At 36.0% G+C, this 25,724-nt stretch overlaps 1 long non-coding RNA gene across 7 annotated transcripts in view; it reads right to left on the bottom strand.

The window, feature by feature from the left end:
• Positions 1–211: 211 nt before the first annotated feature.
• Positions 212–25,724, bottom strand: part of SCHLAP1 (SWI/SNF complex antagonist associated with prostate cancer 1) — a 224,836-nt gene continuing 199,323 nt past the window's right edge. For 4 of the 7 annotated variants that reach the window (NR_104322.1, NR_104325.1, NR_104323.1 and 1 more), the window contains 2 exons: positions 17,433–17,501; positions 212–878 (listed from right to left, as the gene is read on the bottom strand). This is a non-coding gene — a long non-coding RNA (SWI/SNF complex antagonist associated with prostate cancer 1). The remainder of the gene's footprint in view (positions 879–17,432; positions 17,502–25,724) is intronic. The other 3 variants (NR_104324.1, NR_104320.1, NR_104321.1) reach the window with 1 other exon arrangement.

Raw genomic sequence — 25,724 nt, 5'->3', positions numbered from 1 at the left:
ACAAGCTGTTTCTCTTAAAATATTAATTCTATTAGGTAGGTGGATTAAAAAAATTAACAAGTTCCTTTGCTGTGAGAATTCTCAAAATCTTCAACACACTCCTGTACATTATTATTCTTCAAGAAGAAAATTTAATTCTGAACATCATTTCCAAACATGTTGTACTAGTCTGTTTTCATGCTGCTGATAAAGATATACCAGAGACTGGGTAATTTATAAGTGAAAGAGGTTTAATGGGCTCACAGTTCCACGTGGCTGGGGAGGCCTCACAGTCATGGTGGAGAAGGTGAAAGGCATGTCTTACATGACGACAGACCAGAGAAGAGAATGAGAACCAGGTGAAAGGGGTTTTCCCTCATAAAACCATCAGATTTTGTGAGACTTATTCACTACTATGAGAATAGTATGGGGGAACCACCCCCATGATACAATTATCTCCCACCGGGTCCCTCCCACAACACGTGGGAATTATGGGAGCTACAATTCAAGATGATATTTGGGTGGGGACACAGCCAAACCATATCACATGTTTATCCTCTGAGCTTTTTTTTTTTTTTTTTCCTTCACAGTGAACATTGGTAACTAATAGTCTCTGAACTGGATTTTGGATAATGGGATTACAAAGAAATATAATTCAATATCCACATTCACAATACAGATTAATGTAAAGTGGGATTAGTCAAAAATATTCATAGGACATAATGAGGTTAGCCAGGACTTGATGGAAATTCAGGTTGTTCCAGACCCATATACACTCAATTTATATGAAAAAGGAAAAGTTGGTAATCATATGACTCTTCATTCTTTTCGCTTTTATTCTTTCCTTTTCCTCTGCTAACTGGTCCCAGTGCTGATATTCACCGGACTCTGGTTCAATTCTAGGAAGGCAATTGTTGAAGGAATTAATCAAAAGGGAAAGAAAGCAATTTGTACATAAATATTATAACACTATTTCAAGGAGTGAAAAAATAGTAAACAATGTAAGGCCATACATTTGGAGACAGTTAAGAAATCCACTATAGAATACTGTAAGGGCATTGCAGAAGAGAAATATCTCGACAAAGTTGCTCTGAGGAATTGTATGTTAAATAATGTCAACCAAAAAACTGAATCCAAAATCATTATAACTATATAATTCAGATCTAAACTGAGAAAGCTCAAAAATATATGTTGCAAATACAGTTGGATATTTAGTCTTTTTTGCATACTTTTTTGTTGTTATTCTAAATAATACTGTAAAAAGAAAAACGTTGGGAAGTTTAACTCCCTGTCTCAGGTTGGGTTTTCTGGGAGCAGATGCTTATTTAGATGAGTTTTGGAGGGTAAGATGGGAAAGGAAGGACAGGAAGCAGGACTGGGTAGAGAAAAAAGTTGAACTGGAATGCAGGCCAACAAATCTTTGACCAATTCAGCAGGAGCAATGAAGGGAATATTGTGCTTTAGAGTGATGGGGCCTTTCAAACACTGCCTTGCTTAGTCAGCAGCTGCAGTCTGCCTTGAGAAGGGTGAGATCTCTGGAGAGGTGGCTCCTTACAGCTGAGGTGGACCCTGAAGTTGCTGATCGCTGGGTTGCCTCCTGACTGTCCTCCCCATGGCTGGGCAGTAAGTACTTCCTTGAAGGAATTCTGGCAGAGCATCTCTGAGTGTACCACCCACGTTCATTATCAAGTTCTGTCAAAGTGCATTCAAATTATCTGAAAGAGAGGCTATATCGAAAAGATTTTCCCCTCCACTGTTTTGGAGACTTTCCACAGTGGTGCACTAGATCATTATTTCCTTTGCAGCAGTTTTGGTTCAAATTGTCAATTTGTTCTGTAGTGTTCCAGACTAGAGTTGCTGTAGACTACACTACATTAAGCACCAAATGCTAAGCAAATAGATGAAAATGAAGCTGATACCTAGCATTAATGGCTGGGATGTGTTCAGCACTGTTGAAATGATAACATTCACATACATATTTCTGACATTTGGTAGAATAATTGATTAGTTTGGAAGGGTGGATAATACCAACTCATATTTTGCATCACTTATCTACGCCACTCGCTGAGCACCTATCTCCTTTGCAGAAGCCAGAAAAATTTCTTTATTTTAATTCTCATTTACAAAGTTAATGTAAAAAGTCCATGATGAGAAAAATATCAACATTTTAAATAAGGAATAATCAGTAACAGTGCTGTGCTGAGCTATATTAGCAACAGGAGTAAAAGAAAAAAAATCAGTCATACTGATTTTATTTCTTATTTACATTTTGATTCCATGTTCATCATGGTTCTTTAGGGTACTCATTTTGATTTTCTAAAATATTGCACTCAAAATTTATTTATCTGGATTACTGAGTTTTTTTTTTTTTCATCCCTTTAAATTTTGTGCCTGATGTGCTTCCTTTGCCTCACTCTATTTGCAGGCCTGGTAATTAAAATTATATATATTTCCACAATGGTTGAACTAATTTACACTCCCGTCAACGGTGTACAAGCGTTCCTTTTTGTCCACAACCTCACCAGCATCTGTTATGTTTTTACTTTTTAATAATAGCCATTTGGACTGGTGTGAAATGATATCTTACTGTGGTTTTGATTTGCATTTCTCTAACGATCAGTGATGTTGAGCTTTTATTCGTATGATTGTTGGCCACATGTATGTCTGATTTTGAAAAGTGTCTGTTCATGTCCTTTGTCTACTTTTCAATTGGGTTGATTTTTTTTGTAAAATCTGTTTAAATTTTTATATACGCTGGATATTAGATACTAGATGTCAGATGCATTGCATGCAAAAATTTTCTCCCATTCTGTAAGTTGTCTGTTTACTCTGTTGACAGTTTCTTTTATGGTGCAGAAGCTCTTTAGTTTAACTACATCTCATTTGTCACTTTTTGCTTTTGTTGCAATCGCTTTTGGCATCTTTGTCATGAAATCTTTGCCTGTGCCTCCGTCCTGAATGCTATTGCCTTGGTTGTCTTCCAGCGTTTTTATAGTTTTGGGTTTCGCATTTAAGTCTTTAATCCATCTTGAGGTTGATTTTGTATATGAGGTAAAGGAGGGGTCCAGTTTTAATTTTCTACTATTCCATTACAGGGTATATACCCAAAGGAATGTAAATCATTCTATTATAAAGACATACGCATGTCTATGCTCATTGAAGCACTATTTACAATAGTAAAGACATGGAATCAACCTAAATGTCCATCAATGATAAAGAAAATATGGTACATACACACCATGGAATAATATGCAGACATAAAAAAGAATGAGATCATGTCCTTTGCAGGGACATGGACAGAGTTGGAAGCCATTGTCCTTAGCAAACTAATACAGGAACAGAAACACAAATACCACATGTTCTCACTTACAAGTGAGAGCTAAATGATGAGAACACATGGACACATACAGGGGAACAACACACACTGGGGCCTATTGGAGGGCGGAGGATGAAAGGAGGGAGAGGATCAGGAAAAATAACTAATGGTTACTAGGTTTAATACCTGGGCGATGAAATAATCTGTACAACAAACCCCCATGACACGTTTACCTATGTAACAAAACTGCACATGTACCCCTGAACTTAAAAGTTAAAATACACACACAAACACACACATGCATGTGCACATGCACACACACACACACACACACACACACACACACACACATATATATGTGTGTTTGTCCAAAATCTCTCATTGTTTTCTGTGGGAGGGCTGGTCTCATATAACTACTCCTTTTTTAATTGAAATGGAACTCACAAAACTCAGAGACAGTAGTTGTGTATAACAAAAATGAAGGCTTTCAAAAGGTCTTGTACAGTTTTCTTATACACAAAAGAGAAAGACCTCAGTTTCCAAGGTATCACACACTCTTTCTGTAATTATTCTCACCAATTCTGCCTTGCCAATTTAGATTATTCTTGCCTATTCAACAGTTGGCAGATGTATACCATTATCTAGTCCGCTAACTTCCAAGCAGGTATTACATATTTGTTCCAGAAATTAAAAAAAAATGCTGCTATGAAGCAAGAAATATATTAGTTAATGTGTGCCTGCTATGTTTCCTTTTAATTTAACATTTGTTGTGTTGAAGAATAGAATCTTAACCATGTAAATAATGTCACCAAACACTATAATTATAATTTAACATAACAGAAACATGTGTGGTATATGCTATAACCCAGACAATAACCTGAATAGGTTAAACTATTATGTATAGCACTATTTTGCCATCTTTTACTAAACAGTAGCGGATACACTTAAATTATAATATGAAATCTGGGATGGGAAGAAGGGAACACAATTATAACTGTAAAGAGCAGTAATATTTGCTCCTTTTTCAAGGTGCATATTTTTTAAGTGGAAAATAGATATGTAATGAAATAATGTAGTTTAAAGGTATACCATAGTCTGGGAATGCTTTTTCTCCTTTTTGATTGGGTCCTGAATATAACTGGGCCCTTTTGAGGTTTGCCTCTTCTATCCTGCCATGTCCAAAACAAACACACTTGCCACATTAATTAAAACAAAAAATGTCTTGAAAAGCAATGGAAAACTTTGTTAAAGTTTATTGGGGGACCTAAGGGGGCTGTTAAACAGACATCTCACAGAAAATCATATTAAATTTATCTCTACATATCTTCCTCCAAGATCCACATCTTTACTGCAGTCACATATACTCTTCCCCCACCCGCCCCCACCAAGAGACTCTCTACCTCTCCTGTGTCAGATTCTCCTTGGCTCTTCTGTGTCAATCCTTACTTCTCCCCTTCTCCCACTTGCTTGTTCCCTCTGTTAACAACTATAGGTCCTTTTATTTCTTTTCCTTCTTAGCCCCCTACAATTCTTTTCTATTGTAGGGCAAGATCACTCCAGTTATCTAGCTTCCTTACTTCTATGTCTATACCAGTACCTCTAGCACCACCACTCTGAGTTGACATAATGAAAAAGTGTGGTGGACCAATTAGAAGTGTCTTTCACAGGCAGAAAAGAGGAGAGATGATGAACATTTGACTTAATATTTTGATCTCTTCTATCCTAGTCTTTATTTCTCGTGATTGTCATCTTGTTTTATGTAACTTGGGTCAGGTCAAAATACCCAGAGTCTACTGAGATCTGTAGAGGTGAGTGGACATTATACACAATTATACTCAAACAAACATGAATATACAATATCTTGATGCCACATTCATAATGTATTGTTTGATATGTAGATTTAAAATAGACCCCAAGTTTTAGCATCTTTTTTCATAATCACTGGGCATAGTTAAATTGGACACCAAAGAAGGTAGCATGACATGTGTTAATTTCTTTTTTATCATGAGATTTTACATAAATGATTACCATGTCAAGCTTCTGCCTTCCACAAATAAAGGGCTTTAAATATTTCTAAGCAGTCCTTTCGGGCTACAATCAGGCAAGCTGTAGTAAAACTATGAATATACGTGATACTTGTCAAGTACTTCTGTCAGAACAGGACTGGTATCCAGGGGAACATGCTTAAAACATATTTCTACTCAACCACCATCCCAGAAATAATCACAAAATCAGGGGAAAGAGAATAATCTTATTTGTTGTATGAGAGTTTTAGTAGAAACAAAAAATAAGAGACTTTGAATTGGTTTTCATTCTTGGCCTTTAGGTTTGATGTCAAGTCTTATATTAGTCAGGGTACAGTCACTCTGGGGGCGGGAACCACAACATTAAGTTGAGCACAAAAACGTAAATATCTTAGTTATCCATTAGGTATAGGATGGTTAACTATTAAAAATGGTAAGAACTCTAAGGTATTTAGAAGTAGCAACTGAAAAAAAAAATGCTGCTACCCCTAGCACTTAGGGAAAAGTGAAAACGGAAGGGACTTAGAAACAGAAGCAAGGATCTCTCACAAACCTATAAGATTCTTATGAGAGGGACAGCTACTGCAGGAACATGCTGCCCGGCGCTGGATTGGGGAGGAAAGCGGATGGAGGCCTTTCACTGCGGCAGAACTGGGAGAGTTGCTGCTATTTGGGTAAGCCCTCTGGGACCCCTGGCACACTGATTTGCTCACCATGGCGTGAAAAATAGAACACTGGGAAGAGTAGAAAATCCCTTCTTCCTCTTCCAGCCTTGCAGTCTCTCTCTAGCACCCTCTATTGCAAGAACCTAAGACTGCTTAGGTTCTTTTCACCAGCTGGCAGAGGTGTGTGGTCTGCATAGCCCAGCTCCCGTTATCAAAAAAAAGGACCAAAAGGTTGCATGTGGAGATGAGAGGTAATACATTAATAACTAGTACTACTATTTAAAAAGTTCTGTCACTAAGCAGTATTATCTCATTTCTAGCACTTTTAATTTGGCACATGATAGCTTGAATGATAATATCAACAAAAGTGCCATTCAAGTTTCCTAAATTTACGCTCTTATGTAATATGTATGATTCAAAACAGGAGATTTTATTAGCTTTTGTTTGTTTATATACATCATAAAATAAAACAATGTGCACACAGAAAAATTCTTCAGAGGTCATCTTATCTAGGCTTCCAGTGTATATTGGAACTGTGACTATAGTTCACCCTCTACCTTCTGCTTGAATATTTCCTACAATCAGGGGTTAGTTCACTAGCTGATGAGCCACTTTCTTGTCTAGAAATTTCTAATTTTAAGAATGTTTTTCTTACCCTGTCTCCAAATCTGTTTCTTCTTTTTTCTTTTTCTTCTTCTTCTTTTTTTTTTTTTTTTTTTTTTTTTTGACCGAGTCTTGCTCTGTGGCCCAGGCTGGAGTGCAGTGGCGCGATCTCGGCTCACTGCAAGCTCCGCCTCCCGGGTTCACGCCATTCTCCTGTCTCAGCCTCCCGAGTAGCTGGGACTACAGGCACCTGCCACCATGCCTGGCTAATTTTTTTTTTTTTTTTTTTTTTGTATTTTTAGTAGAGACGGGGTTTCACCATGTTAGCCAGGATGGTCTCGATCTCCTGAGCTCATGATCCACCAGCCTCGGCCTCCCAAAGTGCTGGGATTACAGACGTGAGCCACCGCGCCCGGCCCAAATCGGTTTTTCTTAACTGCCTGCCATTAGTCCTCATTTTGTCATATGGAATGTGCTAAAACCTTCTCTGGTAACTTTTATGACAGCCCCCCAAATATTTGAAGGCTCTGTATTGTCTCTGTTAACTATTCCTCATATGGTAAAGTTTCTGTACCCCAACATTATTGGACTCATACTCCTATAACCTCACTATACTTTTTTTTTTTTTTTTTTTTTTTTTTGAGACGGCGTCTTGCTCTGTCACCCAGGACGGAGTGCAGTGGCGCGATCACAGCTCACTGCAACCTCTGCCTCCCAGGTTCAAGTGATTCTCCTACCTCAGCCTCCCGAGTAGCTGGGACTACAGGCGTGTGCCACCACACCTGGCTATTTTTTTTTTTTTCGTATTTTTAGTAGAGACGGGGTTTCACTGTGTTAGCCAGGATAGTCTCGATCTCCTGACCTTTAACATCTCTTTTAAGAAATGCAGCTCTCAGAAATTAACTTGATGAGTTAGACATATAGAACTGAGGCAAAGTATAATGGATATATTACTTTTAGGATCAGGTATTATAGTTCCATGAATGATGCCTTAATAATTGGCTTTTTCAACAATTGCATCACAGTTTTGCTTTTCTTACCACTAACCCACTCCCCCACCTTAGAGGCATTTTATAAACCTCGAGTTCTTTTTTTTAAAGGATCAGTGTTCACTGAATTGTTTTTAATCTAGAAAAATATAACAGATCTTGTACCAAAAATATAGTAAGTAATAAACTATTTTTCACTTCCCCTCAGACAACCCTCCCAACTGGAATGGCAGGAATAGTTGGTGGAAGCGTTCCTTGACTCTTCCAAGTCTCCTTGTAACCTTTTAACGTTTACCTTAGAACCTGGGAAAGCATTGTTTCCCTCTGACTACAAAGCCAAAAGTGAGAGTTGGATATTAAGCGAAATTACTTTTAATTCCCCCACATCCTCAAGGAGGGTTCATGACATATTCATTTCCTTCATATTACCTAATGTGAAACATACCAGGACAGAATTAATTCTTTACAAAGCAGCATTTTGTAATGAGTGCTGCTTCCTTCATTTTGCCTCCTCTGGATTCCACAATGTTGATTGTAGTTGGAATCTATCTCTAATGACACTTGAAAGAGTTCTTTAAGCTCAGTGGTTTTGAAGGCAAGAAAATGATTTGTTTGGAACAAACTCACATTCAAAATATATTTTATTTTATGTAAAATTATATAGGTAAATGAAATATTCATTTTACTGCACAAAAATTTCAATGTACACACATCCAACAATGTATGGGCTGTATATTCTTTACTTGGAATGTTCTTTCCTCAGATAGCTGCTTGACTAATTCTCTCACTTCCTTCCAGTGAAGGAAGATTTCACCCTTTCAATGAGGCAGGCCTGGCTTGAACAACCATTTAATATTGCAAACTGTCTCTTCTACCTTCTCCCAGCCTTGTCTTCCCCTTCTTACTCAACTTTTCTTTTTTTCCAGAGCACTAAGTATTTTCTAACACACTGTGTCATTTACTTATTTATTATGTTTAACACAATGCAAATCTGTTTTCCCTGTACTCTCCCACCCCCTCCCAACCCCAATGTAAGTTCCTTGAGGGTAAATATCTTTGTTTCCTTGTTTACTTTGTACGGGGATGTAATACAATAAATATTTGTTGAATTAATGACATTAGCTTCCAGTTCCTTCTTACAAATGGGTGATAATTATTGCAGACAAGAGTACATTCTGTGCTCTGGGTATGTCAAACATTTTTTCTTCTCAATTGTCCAAGTTCTTCAGTTCCTTTTCTGTGCATTTCATAGTATTTTTGCTCTTGCAGGCTGCCCTGCTTGATGTTTCGTTGTTTCAGCTCATTCTCCAGCTCTGTACACTAAAAGTTTGACCTTTAACAGATTGAACCTGAAGCTTTGCTTGCCTTTGAAATGTTCTGTAAAATGCAGGTGACTAGCTCCGATCACCCTGCAGGTCCTTTTAACTGAGTCACCTCCAACCCCAGCCTTCTCCACTCATCTCTAGAGAGGGTTACAGTTTATAATTGTCCTTTTTGGCAAGAAAAGTAACTTTCTGGCTGGAAGCTGCAATACAACTCATTTTTTTTTAAAGTGTTCAGTACTGTGTTACTTCCAGTATAACACCATTAGACATCCTTTCTGTAGAAGCAATAACTCAGGAGCATTCCTGCTTAACCATTTCCTGTCTGACTTCTGACCAATACCTAACCATGCTGCATAAAACCCTCTTATTCCATGAGTCACATGGCTGACACCACCATCGTTCAGCTCTTAACTTAAATGCTAATTCTCTAGGGAATCTTTCTTGGACCATTTATGATGGGTAATTACCCTTTAAAGAAATACACTGTACCATGGTTATTTTCTTCACATTTCATGTATATATATTTGTTTATTATCTGTCTCTACTAGACTGTAACCTCCAACATATCTGTTTTATAAACCAGAGAGCAGTCATTCAATAAATAAACAGATCTGAGGGCCAACTGGCATGTTGTCAACTTATGATATTGGAAGTTTACATAAATTTAAGAAAACCTTTAAAAAATAAAATAGGGCATCACAACTTTTACCAGAAGGTACACATTGTAGAATTCATATTTGTATAAAGCAATAATAATGAACTATAATAAGTCTCAATATGCTTTACCTCATTTATCCTCAGTTATTTGAATTCAGCATTGTCTTTTTTTTTTTTTTCCAATTTACAGGAGAACTGAAGTTTAGTGGTTAAATAACGTACCCAAAGTCATGCAGCTAGAAAGCAGCAGCCTTCTGAAAGAACAATTGATCTTAACTACTTTGCCCTACTCCTCCAGCAGACTATTCAAACGATAACTTCCTGGTATCATTGCTTATAAAAGTAAAATATTTTAATGGATGCAATGAAAAAACGGCATTAAATAAATTGGGAGAAATAATTGCTGTTATACTTTTTAAAAAACTGTCTAAGTATAAAGGTTATAGATCTCCAAACGAGCAGGCAGTAAATTTATTTTTCTTGTAATCTGAAAATAGTAGCCATGTTTCCCTCTCAATGTTTGAGTTGGGGTTGGGATGGGTGGAACAATGCGGAATCATCTCTGTAGGTTTATATTCACTGCCTTCTCCAACACTGTGCATCTACCACTTTGTACTCCTGTCAAGTCAAGGTTACAGAATGTCTATTCTATAGTCCAAATACCATGCAGAAAACACCCATAAATAGTCTGTTTTCATGGGACTAATTCATTTTTATAGCAGTTCCCCTGAGGCTCTAAACAGAGAACCAACGCTGAGGATGGGATTTCCAAGGAAATTATATCTGACAGATAGCCAAAAATGTGAGACAGACATTGAAAAATTATAATAACTTGAAATCCAGAGCTAATACTCCATCAATTCCTACAGTGATTAGTTTAGTTTGACACTTTCAAAGCACAAATCTAAGCTATTGAAGTGATTTGTGCTTCATTTCAGTTTGCAAATGCTTCTTTTTCCTTAGAAAGTTTCCAGTCTTTGACTTGATTGACAGCCAGTTGATTTTTATGTAAGAGAAAAAAGGAGACAATGAAATAAATTATTTTTATGCTTTTCTCCTTTGTTTTTTTTTAGGACAAACATGGGTAGTTTAACTAGGTTCTCATCTAGCAATAAATTTTGGTCCAATAATCAAATTTTGATCAAATGGATTTTTTAATATGTGTTAGCAAACATGACTATAGTAGTTAACGAGTTATCAAAAGGCCAAATAAAATTAACCATCACTTTGGCTAATATCATGGTCTAAACAATTTTAGAATTGTTCTGCTTCTGCATAGGCAGCCTTTGGGAAAGCCATTACCAAAAGGTTAAATAGTAAAACCACCTTGGGTACCTGAGCTTGGATTGGGATGCAGAAGGTAATGTGTAAGGGTCTAAACCGGAGGATTCCAAAGTCAAAAGCTTATAAACAATAAGGGAGACTTTAAAACATGTTATATCAAGCCTGGAAGCTATTCTGTTCTTATCTTGCCAAAAGCTAGAGTGAGATAGAAAACTCCTCCAGCTGCTATATTAAACCTTACAAAAATATCTATACAAAATTGTCAACATAGCAGGGTCATCCCCAGGAAGTTGGCAACTGCAGTAGCCATTTTACTCAGTTATCATCCATGTAGGTCAAGGCTTAAAAATGGAATGAATGAAGGGAATGTACCTTTTTTCAAAGAGTATAGAGGTTTGCTTATGCAAACAACTTCCAACAAATTACCACAATATTGTTCTTCTTAGAAATGCAGTTGATGAATAATGTGTACTAAAAGAGTAGACATGAAGCAGATAGAGAAAGACAGTTAGACAATTTCTTCCTTTATTATCAGAAGCCCTGATAACAAAGAGTTGATCATACTGAAGCAGACAGGAATGGGATCCAGCAGGCAATGAAAGCAGATGTCAGTATGAGCTCATCACAGATCTAAGCATTTCCCAGGTGGCTAAGGATTTCACTGTATCATGAGGAGAAGGGATGGATCAATCAATTAATACTAGGAAAATACTGTTTAGTTTTTGAAACTTATTGCATTATGTTTACCCCTTAAGTAAGCAGTATATAGTTCTCAATGCATAGTGTTTGGTTTATTCATTCTCAGTAAACCTTTTTAGTGTCTTTATAGAGGTCAAACTCAAAGTTTGAGAGTTCTAAATTATCTGTAACAACATACAAAAGAATTAAAGTGTCATCATATTAACAATGTTTAGAAAAGCTTAAGTATTTTTAACAATACTAGGTATTGTTAAAGAAAAATATTTGAACTGGATGAAACTCCAAATGGTACTAAAAGTGAACAAAGCAGATAACTTGAGCGTGGAAATAAGGTCTCGTCTTAGTGTGTTGCAAGTTATACAAGTGACAACTGTGCTTTGTGATGCAATGCTAGTTCAAGTAGGAGGAAGCAGCTGCTCAGCCAAATGTAAACTAAGCTGCCAGTTGTTCAAGGGGGTGGATGCTAGACCACCTGCCTCTTACTAGGTAACAAAACACAAGACTCCTGTTGATATAACTGAGAGTATAATACTCAACTGGTATCAAAATGGATATGCATTTTCCTCCTTGACACGACGGTCATTTTATAAACAATTGCATGCAATTACACACATATTTTTAAAGCATCTTTTTAGAGGAAGACTCTGCTTTGCAGCATGATATTTGTATAAGTATTTGAACCATACATGATCAGATACATGAAGTGTATATGATAAAACAAAGAGAAACAATTGTGTACTGTTTACATACTGAAATATCAAAGTATGAGATACATGTAACTTGTCTCAGGGTAAGAACAGTTTCTTATAATTTGAGCTTGTCTAAAGGCCTTGCATTTAGACAATTAGATCAAAAGAGAATTCTTCCAATGAGAACTCAGCAATTCTTCTATGGCAGATAGTGTTTTATTTACTAGAGCTATCAGAATTCAAATACTAAACTTTGGTAATAGTTGATGTGACACTTTATAAATAAGATAAATCAACTGAAAATGAATTATTGATGATTTGTGACCAAAATAAAATAACCATGATAAACCCATCAAAAACCTGTCTTGAAATGGCAGAAAATGTGACAGGGCAAAATATTGGAATCAGATTAAACAAAAGGCAAAGCTATGATTTTGGAAGAAGGAAACTTGACTTATATGGACTATTGTTAACTCTAGAGATGCTCTGAAGTCAGGCATTTTGAATGTTTTGGACCATTAAACATAAAATACATCTTAAGCATGTTTATTTTTAATATCTAATTGCTTGATTTTATATACTCAGGACATAGTGTTATAGTTTATTGAATAAATATTTTTAAATGCCCTTTGATTCTAAGATAATTCAGAACATATTTTGCTTTCTATTTAAAACACGTTGGAAATAGCATTTTGCTAAAAATTGGATTTATACTGCTTAAGGGAGTTCTAAATGTTGAAGAATGAATTTCCTAGTTGAATATTGATGAAAAGTCCTTGATATTTTGAAGTAGTGTGCATATACATTTTCTTATTGTTCAGTTATACCTATAAAGATACAGCACTGGGGGGGGGGGGAAGACCCAAAGGAACATGCCAGTTCATAAATTTTGAATTAGCTGATTTTATTGTTGAACAAACCAAATACCCCAAATGCATGCAGGTAGCCAGCAAGTGGCTACAAACATATAGTGGGTTTTCAGCTCTGTTTATATGGAATTAAAGCTATAGTTGTTATCATTCTACTTTTAACAGTCAGCAGATATTGAATTTGCATCAGTAGTTACATGGAGCATACTCTTACATTCTTTCTTTCATAGTTCTCTGTCAGGCTTACTCTGAGATTTTGTTCTTTTCAATTTTTTATCAGTACCTCTGAAGGCTGCCCCTGACAGTGTATCCAGTACACATAAGTAGTCACGTCCTTCAACATTCTTTAGTGAGGTTAGAGTAAGTTCAGTTTTCCTACCACAGGCAATCACCAATATTTTAACTACCTGCTCAAATATCTGAATCCAGTAGATTTATTCTTGCATCCTTCCTCGCATCTTATATAATGTCAGCCACATATTATACTCTCACTAACTACATGCTAAAACGCAATAAATATCTCTCATAAACATGGGTTCAGCTTGGTAGAGTCAAGAACTTCCCTCTCTTTTTTCAATTTTTATTTTAGATTTAGGAGTTCATGTGAACTTTTGTTACATAAATGCATGTCACAGGGGTTTGTTGTACATATTATTACATCACCCAGGTATTAAGCTCAGTACTCAGTAGTTATCTTTCCTGCTCCTCTCCCTCCTCCCACCCTCCCACCTCAAGCAGACCCCAGGGTCTGTTGTTTTCTTCTTTGTGTTCTTAAGTTCTTATCATTTAGCTCCCACTTATGAGTGAGAACATACAGTATTTGCTGTTTTCTGTTCCTGCGTTAAGAACTTCCCTCTGTTTTGGCTGACTTTAGAGTTTCTCCTCTTTTATCCTTTTCCATTTAAATGTTGCCCAGCACACGACGTAAGCTGACTTGATGGCATTGTCTTCTCTTCCCACTTCTTAGCTCACCCAGGTGATGGTAGTTATTGGAAGAACTTACAGTTGCTACTTGGGTGAAGCAGGAAAGTTAGGAGAAGGAGGGGTGGAAAACTTTGCACTGCTGATGGCTTACAATCCTCTTTTCTCTCCTTTATTTCCCCTATTTTGTCACATTCTTACTTCCAGGACTTTGGAGGAGCAGCTCCCATAGATATCCATCAGGAAAAGTGGAATTTCCCACTCCTGTGGCAAATGGCTATTGTAAAAAAGACATGCCCCCCCATGCATTCAAGGGTGGAACTCTGAATGCATTTTCCAAGAGAAATTTTATTCCGTTTTATGATTAGCTTACAGAAGTACTGTTACCAGTATGCTTTTAGTAGCACTACGGAGAAAATGAACAATTGTAGTCCATCTCTGGAAGTTATCTACTATCTCAAAATGTGTTTTTAATTTGTATTTTTTTAAATATGAAAAAGCTTTTAAATTTCCCAAAATTGACAAATAAAACTCTGCAACTTGATCTGTGAATAACAGAAGGGTTTTGGTAAATATTCCTGCCTACCTTCCAAATCCCCCCATCAGAATCTAGGCACTCATTTTCAGCAGCTAAGACTGTTGGCTAATGGCTCAGAGTGGAATTCTTCTTTCAAAGGAAGCTGCCATAATGTTATGTCCAATGCTACACTTCCTCTTTGGCATCCAGTGACTGGTCAATGGAGTTAAAGCCCTGGCCCCTTGTTTTATCTGGGGCATCTCTGGAGGTCTAGCTTAGTACCAAGACTACTTGCAAGTTATTCACTACAATTGCTTCTTAGTTTATTTTTTTCCTTTGTCCAGGCTTGACTCCTTTACTCTCTTGTTACTGTTGTTCCCATAAACTCTCCCTCCCAAAGCTCTTTCACACAATTTTCACCTCAAAGGGAACCAAGCTAAAACAGAAAAGTAATGTATTACTTGGATCAACTTAAAGCTAGTTTAAGCAATCGCTCAAGATTTCTAATATTTCTCCTTCATATTTATTATAATTATATTAGCATATACTCTTTTAATTTTTATTTAAAAATATTTACATGTGGTTTTAAAAGTCGAATAGTGCTGTATTATTTACAAGGAAATAGTAGTGCCTTGTCCCATGACTCTCAAAGGGCTTATCCTGCAATTTCATGAATTTTTAAACTGTAGTCATTACTTACTGACTTTCAGTTATAACAAATTAAGATTTACATCTCTTCTACTCACTCCTCCATATTCCCCACTACCATTTCCCAGCTAGCCAATTTGAAAAATAGTCATTTGTTTAGATAACCTTTAGTATACGCCATTCTCATAATAATCTTTACTGCTGAGATACAGAGTGTATTTTGGTTACATTTCTTTTACCTTTTTACTACTATTTTTCTTGAGATAAGTTATTTGCTTTTACTTCTAAAATGTGGTTGGTTTATCACTTTTGTACCTATTTCTAATTCATCCCAAAACTTTATGTAAAATGCCTCTCGGTATGGTAAGGCATATCCCATTATCTTTCAGCAATACTTTTCTCCCCACTTAGGAACATTTGACATCTGTCTTGGTGCCCCCTGTCTTTCTTTGATCTGAACTGCTTGTTCTCTATACCTGGGGCACAACTGTCATCGTGGGACTTCTCTTCTCCATTGCCCTGAAACTTGCTGTTCTCTAGTGTTAATTCTGCATATCTTGGATTGCATGCCTTCCTTTTTCTCAGCTTTTACCCTTCGTTTCGCTGGAGCTTGTTCTCCAGTACTTTCCTGAGAATGGGTGCATCTCTGTAATCAATCGCTGAGTCAATGAATGTCTGAACTTTTTATCCTACTTTCACCTTTGCTTGATAGTTTTGTTGAGTATACACTATAGGTTGCGGATAACTATTTTTTTAAGAGAGGCTTATTTCTATTTTATATTTAAGCAAATTACGTAGCATACATTGCTGATGTGAAGAAAATACACAAAAGTCTTTGTACTTCAACTTTTTAAAAAATTATTTTTAATGGTCATTAATTGTGCATATTCATGGGGTATATAGTGATGTTTTGAAACATGTAATGTCTGGTGATCAAATCAGGGTAATTAGCATATCCATCATGTTGAAGATGAATTTAAAAGACAATGCTCCATTATTGTCTTGAGAATTATATCATTCTAATTTTTTATTATTTATGTGTGATCTTTTAAAATGTTTGCTTTTTCTCTGTCATGTGGTTTCTTCTTATGATCTCTTTTATTCCTGGTGTTTTACAATTTAATATTGAGGATCTTGTTGTGGGTCAGTTTTAATTAATTGAATTGAAAACTCTTTGAGCTCTTTCAATCTGAAAACTCATGTACTTCATTCAATTCTGGGGAAATTTCTGATATTCTTTCATTGTTAAGCTTGTTTCCCCTTATTTCTGTTCTTTTATTAATTCTGTTCTTTTGTTCTGGAATTCCTATTAGACATCTTGTATCTTCTGAAATGGTTCTTTTGTTTAAACATATTTCTTGTAATATTTTCTTTGTCTTTGTGCCCTTTGTTTTTTGTTTGTTTTACTTTATGGGTAATTTATTAAACTTTATCTTCCAAGGTTGAGAAATACTATTATCTTATTTTTAATTTTCAAGGGCCCTTTTTTGTTTTCTGAATACTACTCGACTTGTTTTAAAAGTAGCATTCTGGGCCAGGTGCGGTGGCTCACACCTGTAATCTCAACACTTTGGGAGGCTGAGGCAGGTGGGTCCCCTGAGGTCAGTAGTTCAAGACCAACCTGGCCAACATGGTGAAATCCCATCTCTACTAAAAATAGAAAAATTAGCCAGGCTTGGTGGCGGGTGACTGCAATCCCAACTACTCGGGAGGCCAAGGCAGGAGAATCACTTGAACCTGGAAGGTAGAGGTTGCAGTGAGCTGAGATTGCACCCCTGACTCCATCTCAAAAAAAAAAAAAAAAAAAAAAAGCATTCTATTCTTGTTTTGTAAATGCTGTGTCTCTGAAGAGATTTTTTATAGTTGCTTCAAATTTTCTTCAAGTCCCTGCATGGTTCATTTTCATTTGCTTATTTCCTTGCTTTGGCCTTGTCTTTGAAGTGAAATTCCCTCTACTTGTATCTGGTGATTTTTGGCCATTCATTCATATTTAAAAGTGAGACACTACAAGACAAATTGAAATTTTTGCATTCACTGGTGGAATTTTCCAACTGTTGGGACTCACTGTGAGGGACTGGATGAGACAAACCATTTCTTTGGCAACCTCACCTTTCTCATATACTTTCCAGATTCTTCAGAGAAGAGAAGCTTCCCATCTGATGGAATATAAAACCACAAGTGTTCTGGCAGCTAAAGTGAAAGGAGCTAAGTATTTTTACATTGAGCATACAGGATTTCATCCATTACCTTCATTATTTTTGTTGTCTCCCAGCAGAGCCTCTTGGGTTCACCATCTCCAGAAATTAAACCACTTGGCTAGAGTAGAGTAGAGAAGTCTAATTATTTTTTATACAGATTTTAAATAAATCTAATTTCCTTCAGTTTCACCTTACATGTCTGATATCAGAGATAGCTAGTGCCTTACCCAGGCTTTTTGTGGAATTCTGAGGTACCAATTGGTTTATCTTCTCATCACTCCCTTTCACTTCCCCCAGCATCTGCCTCTCCTCCCTACCTAAGCACTCAACAGAGGGGAGAAGGCTGAAACCTAAGCTAATGGCCAATTAGCCATCTATTTTCCATTTTTCTCAATTTTGTTGACTTTTTCTATCTGTTGTATGTTCTCTCCTATTTTCTTTATCTTGGTGAGTTTGTGTATTTTTTACTGTCATTTTAGTGGCCTTTCAAGAGGGAGCAGAGATACACTATTGTGTTCAATCTGTCATGGCTGACTGGAAGTTTATAATTATTTGTTTAATTCTGTCTTCCCTGCTCCACATTTATCTGGTTGAATTGAATGTCTGGGAATAGAGAAATGACTAACACATAAAAGGAGCTTAATAAATCTTTGTTAAATAAATGGAGAGTTGCAAATTTATTTTAGTGTATATATGGGTATAAATTAACTAAAACTTACCTCAAATTATAAATTACTTGTCAAACTCTTTAAAAACTCCCTCCTGGCATTATCAATCATGCCACAATGCCAACAGGGAATTTTTAAAGAGTTTGACAAGGGTGGACTACTATAGAACAGTAGAGCTCTGCGCATGTGATGGTATGATTAGCTAATACTAACTCTGTGATCGTCAGTTCTAAAACTGAATATTGAATTTTTATCATATTGGAGTGAAACAAACATTTGATCTCTTTTCCTCACTTTAACAACAATTTACACCTAAAAGAGAATTCACAGATATCGCTAATGCCCTGGTAGATGCCTAAGCAATGATTCTAACTGTATATGATACATTCAAGAAGATTACTGATTAAAGAAAGAAAGCATTTTATTTGGAAGTTTTACTTTCATAATGGCCTTTCTCTTCAATTTCATCAATTTTCAGTAGAGTATTTTCATATTGTTCTTTTCTCATGGTTGGAAAATTACCATTGTGATGGTTTTTTTCAGTAATTGGCAATTTTAAGACTGTGCAACAGAATCTGAATATGGTCTTGCATGATAAATTGAGAATAACATTTTAACAGTCATAAGTTGTACTACTTTTTAATAATATTATATGCAGTCTGTTTTTAGGGGGTGGGTTTTGAAGTGACATATATAGATAATTCATCAGGGTAAAATTCAGTTACTTGATAGTTTTCATATATTGTGTATATTGTCAAAAATCTAAAATTGCATTGCTACAAATTAGCCTGCCACATGCTGTACTCTGCCGTGTAACATATGGCCCAGCATACAGCAATAATCACCAAAATCTGTGTCAGTGCCTTCAGAGAAAGTGAGAAATTGTCCCTGTAGAGGAGCAATGTTAGTAAATAAAAATGAAATCTTAAGTTTTACTTACACTTACATCTAATTCTTAAGGTTTAAAATATCACCTGAATAAGCTGTTTGGGTCATATATATAAGTCTAAATCTTTGAAGGTTTTCTCCACTATAGGCAATTAAAGTAACTATTGAGTAGTTTGTTTTGACAACTGATTTTGATAAGTTAACTTTCACCTTACTAATTCTTTTTTGTAGATACAGTTAAACTTTTTTTGCTACCTCGGAAGACTAATTTGTTGAATCGCTGGACTTTGTATGAATTCTACCTATTTATTCTCAGAGGTACTTAATAAAAATGTTATTTTAAAATTTGTTTTAGTTATTTGATTCTTTTAAAAAATCTTTTAAGTTTTAAACATTGAAATAGAGCCTGATACAAATGGTCATGTTTTATAAACTATAAAAGCATGTTGAAAATCAAACAGATTACTGCATAACATTAATTTTGTTATATATATGATTACTTATGTTTAATGTATATTTGTGTGCATATGGTTCAATAATGACATCTTAACAATATAAAATTTTTTTCTATGATTAGTTTTTTTCTAAGAAATGGTATGAGAAACTAAGGGTTGTGGAAAATTACTTGCTATGCAAAGTTCCCAAGTGACTATTGACAGTGCAAGAAGGGCTCCATTATTAGAATCTAACCTGCAACACTGCCTTGAATCCTAGAAAGGGTAAGTGAGATATATTAAAAACATTGATCTTGAATATTAATGACTTCTTCCTAACATGAAGAGTTATTAAGTTCTTTGGCAAGTGGTCCTCAGGTCATCTTATTATCATATAGGCCACTTTACTTTGTCTTGTCTCTAAATACCTTTTACTTAGCTCGTTGCATTGTACCTTAATTTTTAGGTTAGCTAGGTCAGTTAAGAAATTTCCACATATTCTATCTCAGAAGGTTTATTTATCGAACAGATATTTATTTGGCACACACCATGTATTGGATACTGTTTTAGGTGCTGGAAATAGAGCAACAAACAAAACAGACAAAAATCTATGCCCCTATATTCTTGTTATATCTTAGCTTACAGTTTAGCGGGGGAAGATATGTACTAAACAGGATAAATAGAACTATATATGGTATGTTAATCTGAAATTAAGGTACTAAATAAGAAAAAAGCAGGGAAGGAGACAGATGGCTTATTGGTGGAGTAGCCTTTAAATTTTAGAGGAAAGCCTTTTGAAGAGAATAGATGTGAGAGGGAGCTGAGTGACTGTTTGGAGGAAGAGAATTTCGGATGGGGGAAGAAGTGAAAAAGTCCCAAGGCAGGAGGGTGCCTGGTATTTATAGGAGGAGCCTAATGTGTCTGGAATAGAGTGGACAACCTGGACAGCAGTTAGAGAGGAGGTCTGGGAGGTAATGAGTGTGAATGTGAGGGGCAGAGCTTGTGGGTCCTGGTAAGTCCATACTGAGAGTGAAATGGGAAGCCATTGCAAGGTTTTGAGCAAGGATGAGTGTGTCTGATAGGTTTTAACAGAACTGCATTGGGTTCTAGATTAAGGATAGCATTAAAGGAGCAAGAGCAGAAACAGAGATCAGATAGGAGGCTAATGCACTAATCTAGAGAGAGACTGGTGACTTGAACCTGGGGAGTATTGGTAGTGATGTGGACAGAGGTTAGATTTTGAAGAGAGAACAAAGAAGATTTTCTAATAAATGAGATGTGAGGTATGACAGAAATGTAATTTCCCTAATCATCAGGGAAATGTAAATCAAAACCACAGTGAAATATCATCTTAGTTAGAATGGCTATTACTAAAAGGACAAAAAACATCAGAAGCTAGCAAGGATACAGAGAAAAGGAAACTCTTATACACTGTTGGTAGGAATGTAAATTCCTATAGCCATTATGGTAAACAGTATGGAGATTTCTCAGAAAAACTAAAAACAGGACTACCATCCAGTCCAGCAATCACACTACTGGTATTTATCCAAAGGAAAGAAAATCATTATACCAAAGGGACACCTGCACCCCCATATTTACTGCAGTGCTATTCACAATAGCAAAGATATGGAATCAGCCTAAGTATCCATCAACAGGTGAATGGGTAAAGAAAATGCAGTATATATACACAATAGAATACTACTCAGCAATAAAAAAATAATAAAATCCTGCCATTTATAGCAACATGGATGGAACTGGAAGACATTATGTTAAATGAAATAAGCCAGATGGAGGAAAACAAATATTGCATGTTCTCACTCATTTTTGGGGCTAAAAATTGTTGATCTTATGAAGGTAGAAAGTAGAATGTTAGTAACCAGAGCCTGAGAAGGGTGTGAGAGCCTGAGAGGTTGTTTAATGGGTACAAACATACAGTTAAGCAGAAGGAAGAAGTTTCGATGTTCAATAGCAGAGTATTATGACTGTAGTTAACAACAGTGTATTGCGTATTTCAAAATAGCTACAAGAGAGGACTTGAAATGTTCCCAACACATAGAAATTATAAATACTCAAGGTGATGGATACCCTAAGTAACCTGACTTTATTGTTACAGAGTCTATGCATGTAATAAGATACCACACGTACCCTATAACAATGTATAAATACTATGTATTAACAGTTTTTTTAAAATAAAGAAAAAGAATTTCAGTTTGGCTGTTTTAGGTATGAGATGCCCATTAAACATTCAAATGAAAAGACTGACTGGGAAGTTGGATATTCAAGTCTGGAATTTAAAAGAGAGACATGAGCATATAATTTGGGAGTTATCAATATACATAGATGGTATTCTAAGCTCTGAGACTGATGATCCCATTTATGGAAACCATGACAGTTTCTGCCATTATTAAGAAAGGTCATCATATCAGATTTTTAAAGTAATAATATTTTTAAGGTAATAGTATTTTAGGGATGCTAAAATCTTTGCAGTTTCTAGGACTAAGTATATTTCTCCAGGCTTAGAAGAGCTGCATGTTGTAAGTGTTTGTTATATAAAACAGAAAAAATATTTATATTAAAATGTAAAATAAAAAGGAGTATGCAAAACTATATACATTATTTAATCAGAATAATGTAAATTATGCTTAGACAAACATGTGAAGGAAATCTGACATTTTAAATGATGATTGTCTTGGGTATTACGAGTATTGGTGAAATTTTTCAAACTTTTATTTATTCTCCAAATTTTTTCCATACAAATATGAATGATTTTTAAGATGAAATAAAGAAAGTTTATCTTCGAAGGTAACGGAAACATTTAAAAATTTCTTCTTGTGGCTGATCAGTTAACTCTTGGATTCGTAACAGAACCCAGTGCCCAACTGCACTGAATTTCCTCATTTATGATTGTATGTGTTATGATATAAAAACACAGAAATTGACAGTGAAGGGCAATCACCAGTCTCACCTAGATACCATACAAAAAATATTTAGCTTATTTACAATTTATCAGTACCCGATACAAGGTTTTCTAAACAAACCAAAAAGAAAACAGGTCTCATATTCATACTCAACTTAATAAATGAATCTCACTATATTCAGGCTGCCCATTATTTCCAAATCAAATTGATGCAATTTCCAGCTCCCTTTTTGGTCTCTGATCTCCTTCTCCAGCACACAGGCTCCCTTTGGGATTTCTTTTTTAGCACAAACTTTCACCATGGGGCTTTTTTTTCACCTTGTTCTTCCAGACACTCTGAAGGGTTTTGATTCTTCAAGTTTTATTTCAAAGTACTTCAAAGAGGGACCTCCTGAAGTGAGGTAAAATAGATTTAACAATACCAACCTACCTCATAAGGCTGCTGTGAGGAATAATAACACAAAGGACTACAAAGCACTTTGTAAATATAAAGTTCTATACAAATGCTTAATAATAATTACTGGGCACAGTACAATGTAGTCTTTTGTGCATTTTTAGAAGTGCCAATGAGTACGATAAGTTTCCTACCTCCAGCCATTTTTTGATTCTTATAATAAAAGTGTTTTAAATTGTGTACAGAACATCCTTGTGCTCCATGTCTTGGATGCATTCCCAAGAAAGAACTGAAACAATGTCAGGCTTGGGAAAAGAAGCAGGGCATCCCAGGTGCAGCTCTCTTCATGTTTGAAGATGCTTTGGCACAGCAGGAAAACCAAAGATGGATAACTCTATGTTATTTTTTTTTCTCTGACTAAACAGATATATGTTCTGTCCATTGGGAGTGTATTTGTGATATGCAGGGCAGTGCTGTCTGCTTTCAGAGCAAGATCAAGATCTACTTAAATTGTGCAATCTCACCTCTATTTTTGATGATGCAAGGGAATCATCCATATGCTTTAAATTTTCATCAATTGTCACTGGCATTAACCAGTTTCAAATTTCCTGTGCTTTTTAAGAGTTTCTTTTACCCACCCCTTTAATTCACTGGACATTTACAGCTTTGGCCTATTAGTCTCTTTTCTCACGTCATTCCTTCAGTGTCTGAAAGGTACCCACAATCACTTTGGAGACCATCTACTTGTGGATATCAGAGTTTTCAAGAAATTATTTTTGTAATCAAAATAGTTTTGATATAGAAATCTTCTTATAATTTTTTTCTGAGATGAAGTTTGTATTAATCCATTTTGCATGGCTATAAAGAAATCCCTGGGGCTGGGTAATTTATGAAGAACATTGGTTTATTTGACTCACAGCTCTGCATTGTGCTGTCATCTGCTGAGCTTCTGGTGAGGCCTTAGGAAGCTTTTACTCATGGTGTAAGGCAAAGGGAGTAGGTGCTTCACATGGCAAGAGAGTGAGCAAGAGAGATGCCAGGTTATTTCAAACAATCAGTTCTGAAGTGAACTAACACAGTGAGAACTCACTCATTACTGTGGAGAGGGCACCAAGCCATTCCTGAAGGATCTGCCCTCCTCCCACCAGGCCCCACCCCCCAACATTGGGGACCACATTTTAACATGAGATTTGGAGGAGACAAGCATCCAACCTATATCAAAGTCTAACCTAAATCTCCATAGTAGTCTCCTATTATAGTAGCTTTAAGAATGAACTTGGTTTTCCAAAGCACAGGACTGTATCACTGTCACATCTGGGAGAGAATAGGGCCTGCACTGGAGGGAAACTCTGTATACTCTTTGGTCTAAAAACAGGGAAATCTTTGGTGTGTAAGAGGGTGAAATTCAGTGTAGGGAATCTACATTTTTCTGATCCTTGAAAGAAAGAGATTTATATCTGATCAAGAGATTCATTCTTCAATAGACATTGATTCAGTTGCTACTGAGTTTATGTACTGTGTATGGTGCTCGGGACAAGTTAATGATAAATAAGACACAGTATCTGGCCTTGAGCTAATCAAAGCTTCATAGTTGAGTTAGACATATTAAAATGCAATCTGAATAAGATGACATACATATTACAATGAAGGTATTGTACAAAGTGAGATTGCAACTGGAAAGATGGAAATACTCTTCTTGAGGGAGTCAGGAAATTTTCACAAAGGAAGTGACATTTGATCTGGGTCTGGATGATAATTAAGCATTTTCCAAGCATTTGAGGAGTTTGGGAATAATAACTGATTTATGACTTTTCATGGCATAATTGGAAATGGTGAGAAAGTCAAAGTGGCTGAAGAACTGATTAAAAAGGGAGATGAAAATGGAAAGATTGGCTGGGGCCATAGTGAGAGGACCCACGTGTGTTATCCCAAAGAGTTTAGGATGCCCCTATACGTCGGGGAGTTAGCTAAAGTTTGCATGATTATATTTGTGTTTTAGAGAGATGACTCTGATACTGTATGGAGAACAGTCTAATTTAGGAAACCACTGAAATTGTTCGACTTTTCTAAAACAAGCCTGCAAATCCTTCTGAGTAAGCATCCCAGATACTCATATCTGGATGTAGCAGTTGCTTCCGAGGCCAACCTCTCAGCAACGTCCTTAGGAATGCCTGCTAATACTTGAAAGGCATATGGCTTCTTTCTGACTAAAACATCTTTAGCTTTGGTAAGCCACAGTGCCTCTGGCTGAATGGTAGATAAAACCTCTAGTATAATTTTAGTAGTTTGGTGACAATCAGGAATCTTCAAGATAGGTGGGAGTCTTTTTTGTTGTTTCCGTTTAATCTTGCTAACATTTCCTTTGCATGGAGAGAAATCTTTAAATACAGTTTACACAACAGATTTTTTTACACTTTTCAATTAGTCTAATCATACTACAATTTCACTTGACTACAAATATAGCAACAGCAATTATACTTTATGCCTAATTGCTAATTGCCTATAAACTAAGGATTACTTACTTTTGCAAACTGCTGGTTCAGGTTTACAGAGCATCATGTATTCAATTCCTAACAGTGCCCACCAGCAACATGAATTTCAATCTATATTCTTAATATATTAGATGAATTGGCTACATCCATCAGGCACCGCCTTTACTACTTATGTTTCTGCTCTTGAGATATATGAATTTTCACCCAACCCTTTTTTAATTCAGAAATTTCATTTTATTTTTAAATCAACTTTACTGAAAAGTAATTTATATGAAGTAAAATGCACATATTTTAAGTGTACAGTTCAAAGAGTTTTGAAAAGCACATGTACTTTCAAATGAGTACCACCAACCCACTTAAAACACAGAATTTTTTTTCACCCCAGCACACTCCCTCAGGTCCCTTTGCAGTAAACCCATTTTACAGAGTGGTATAATGGACATTGGAGAGTCAGAAGGGAGGAAGGCAGGAGGGGAGTGAGGGATAAAAAACTACATAATAGGCACAATGTACAACCACTGATCTGATTTTTATCTCTGTAGATTAGT

The sequence above is a fragment of the Homo sapiens genome, chromosome 2 (assembly GCF_000001405.40).
Source record: "Homo sapiens chromosome 2, GRCh38.p14 Primary Assembly".
Lineage (NCBI taxonomy): Eukaryota > Metazoa > Chordata > Mammalia > Primates > Hominidae > Homo > Homo sapiens.
The sequence above is the reverse complement of the archived record's forward strand: the minus strand, read 5'-3'. Positions and strand labels throughout refer to the sequence as shown.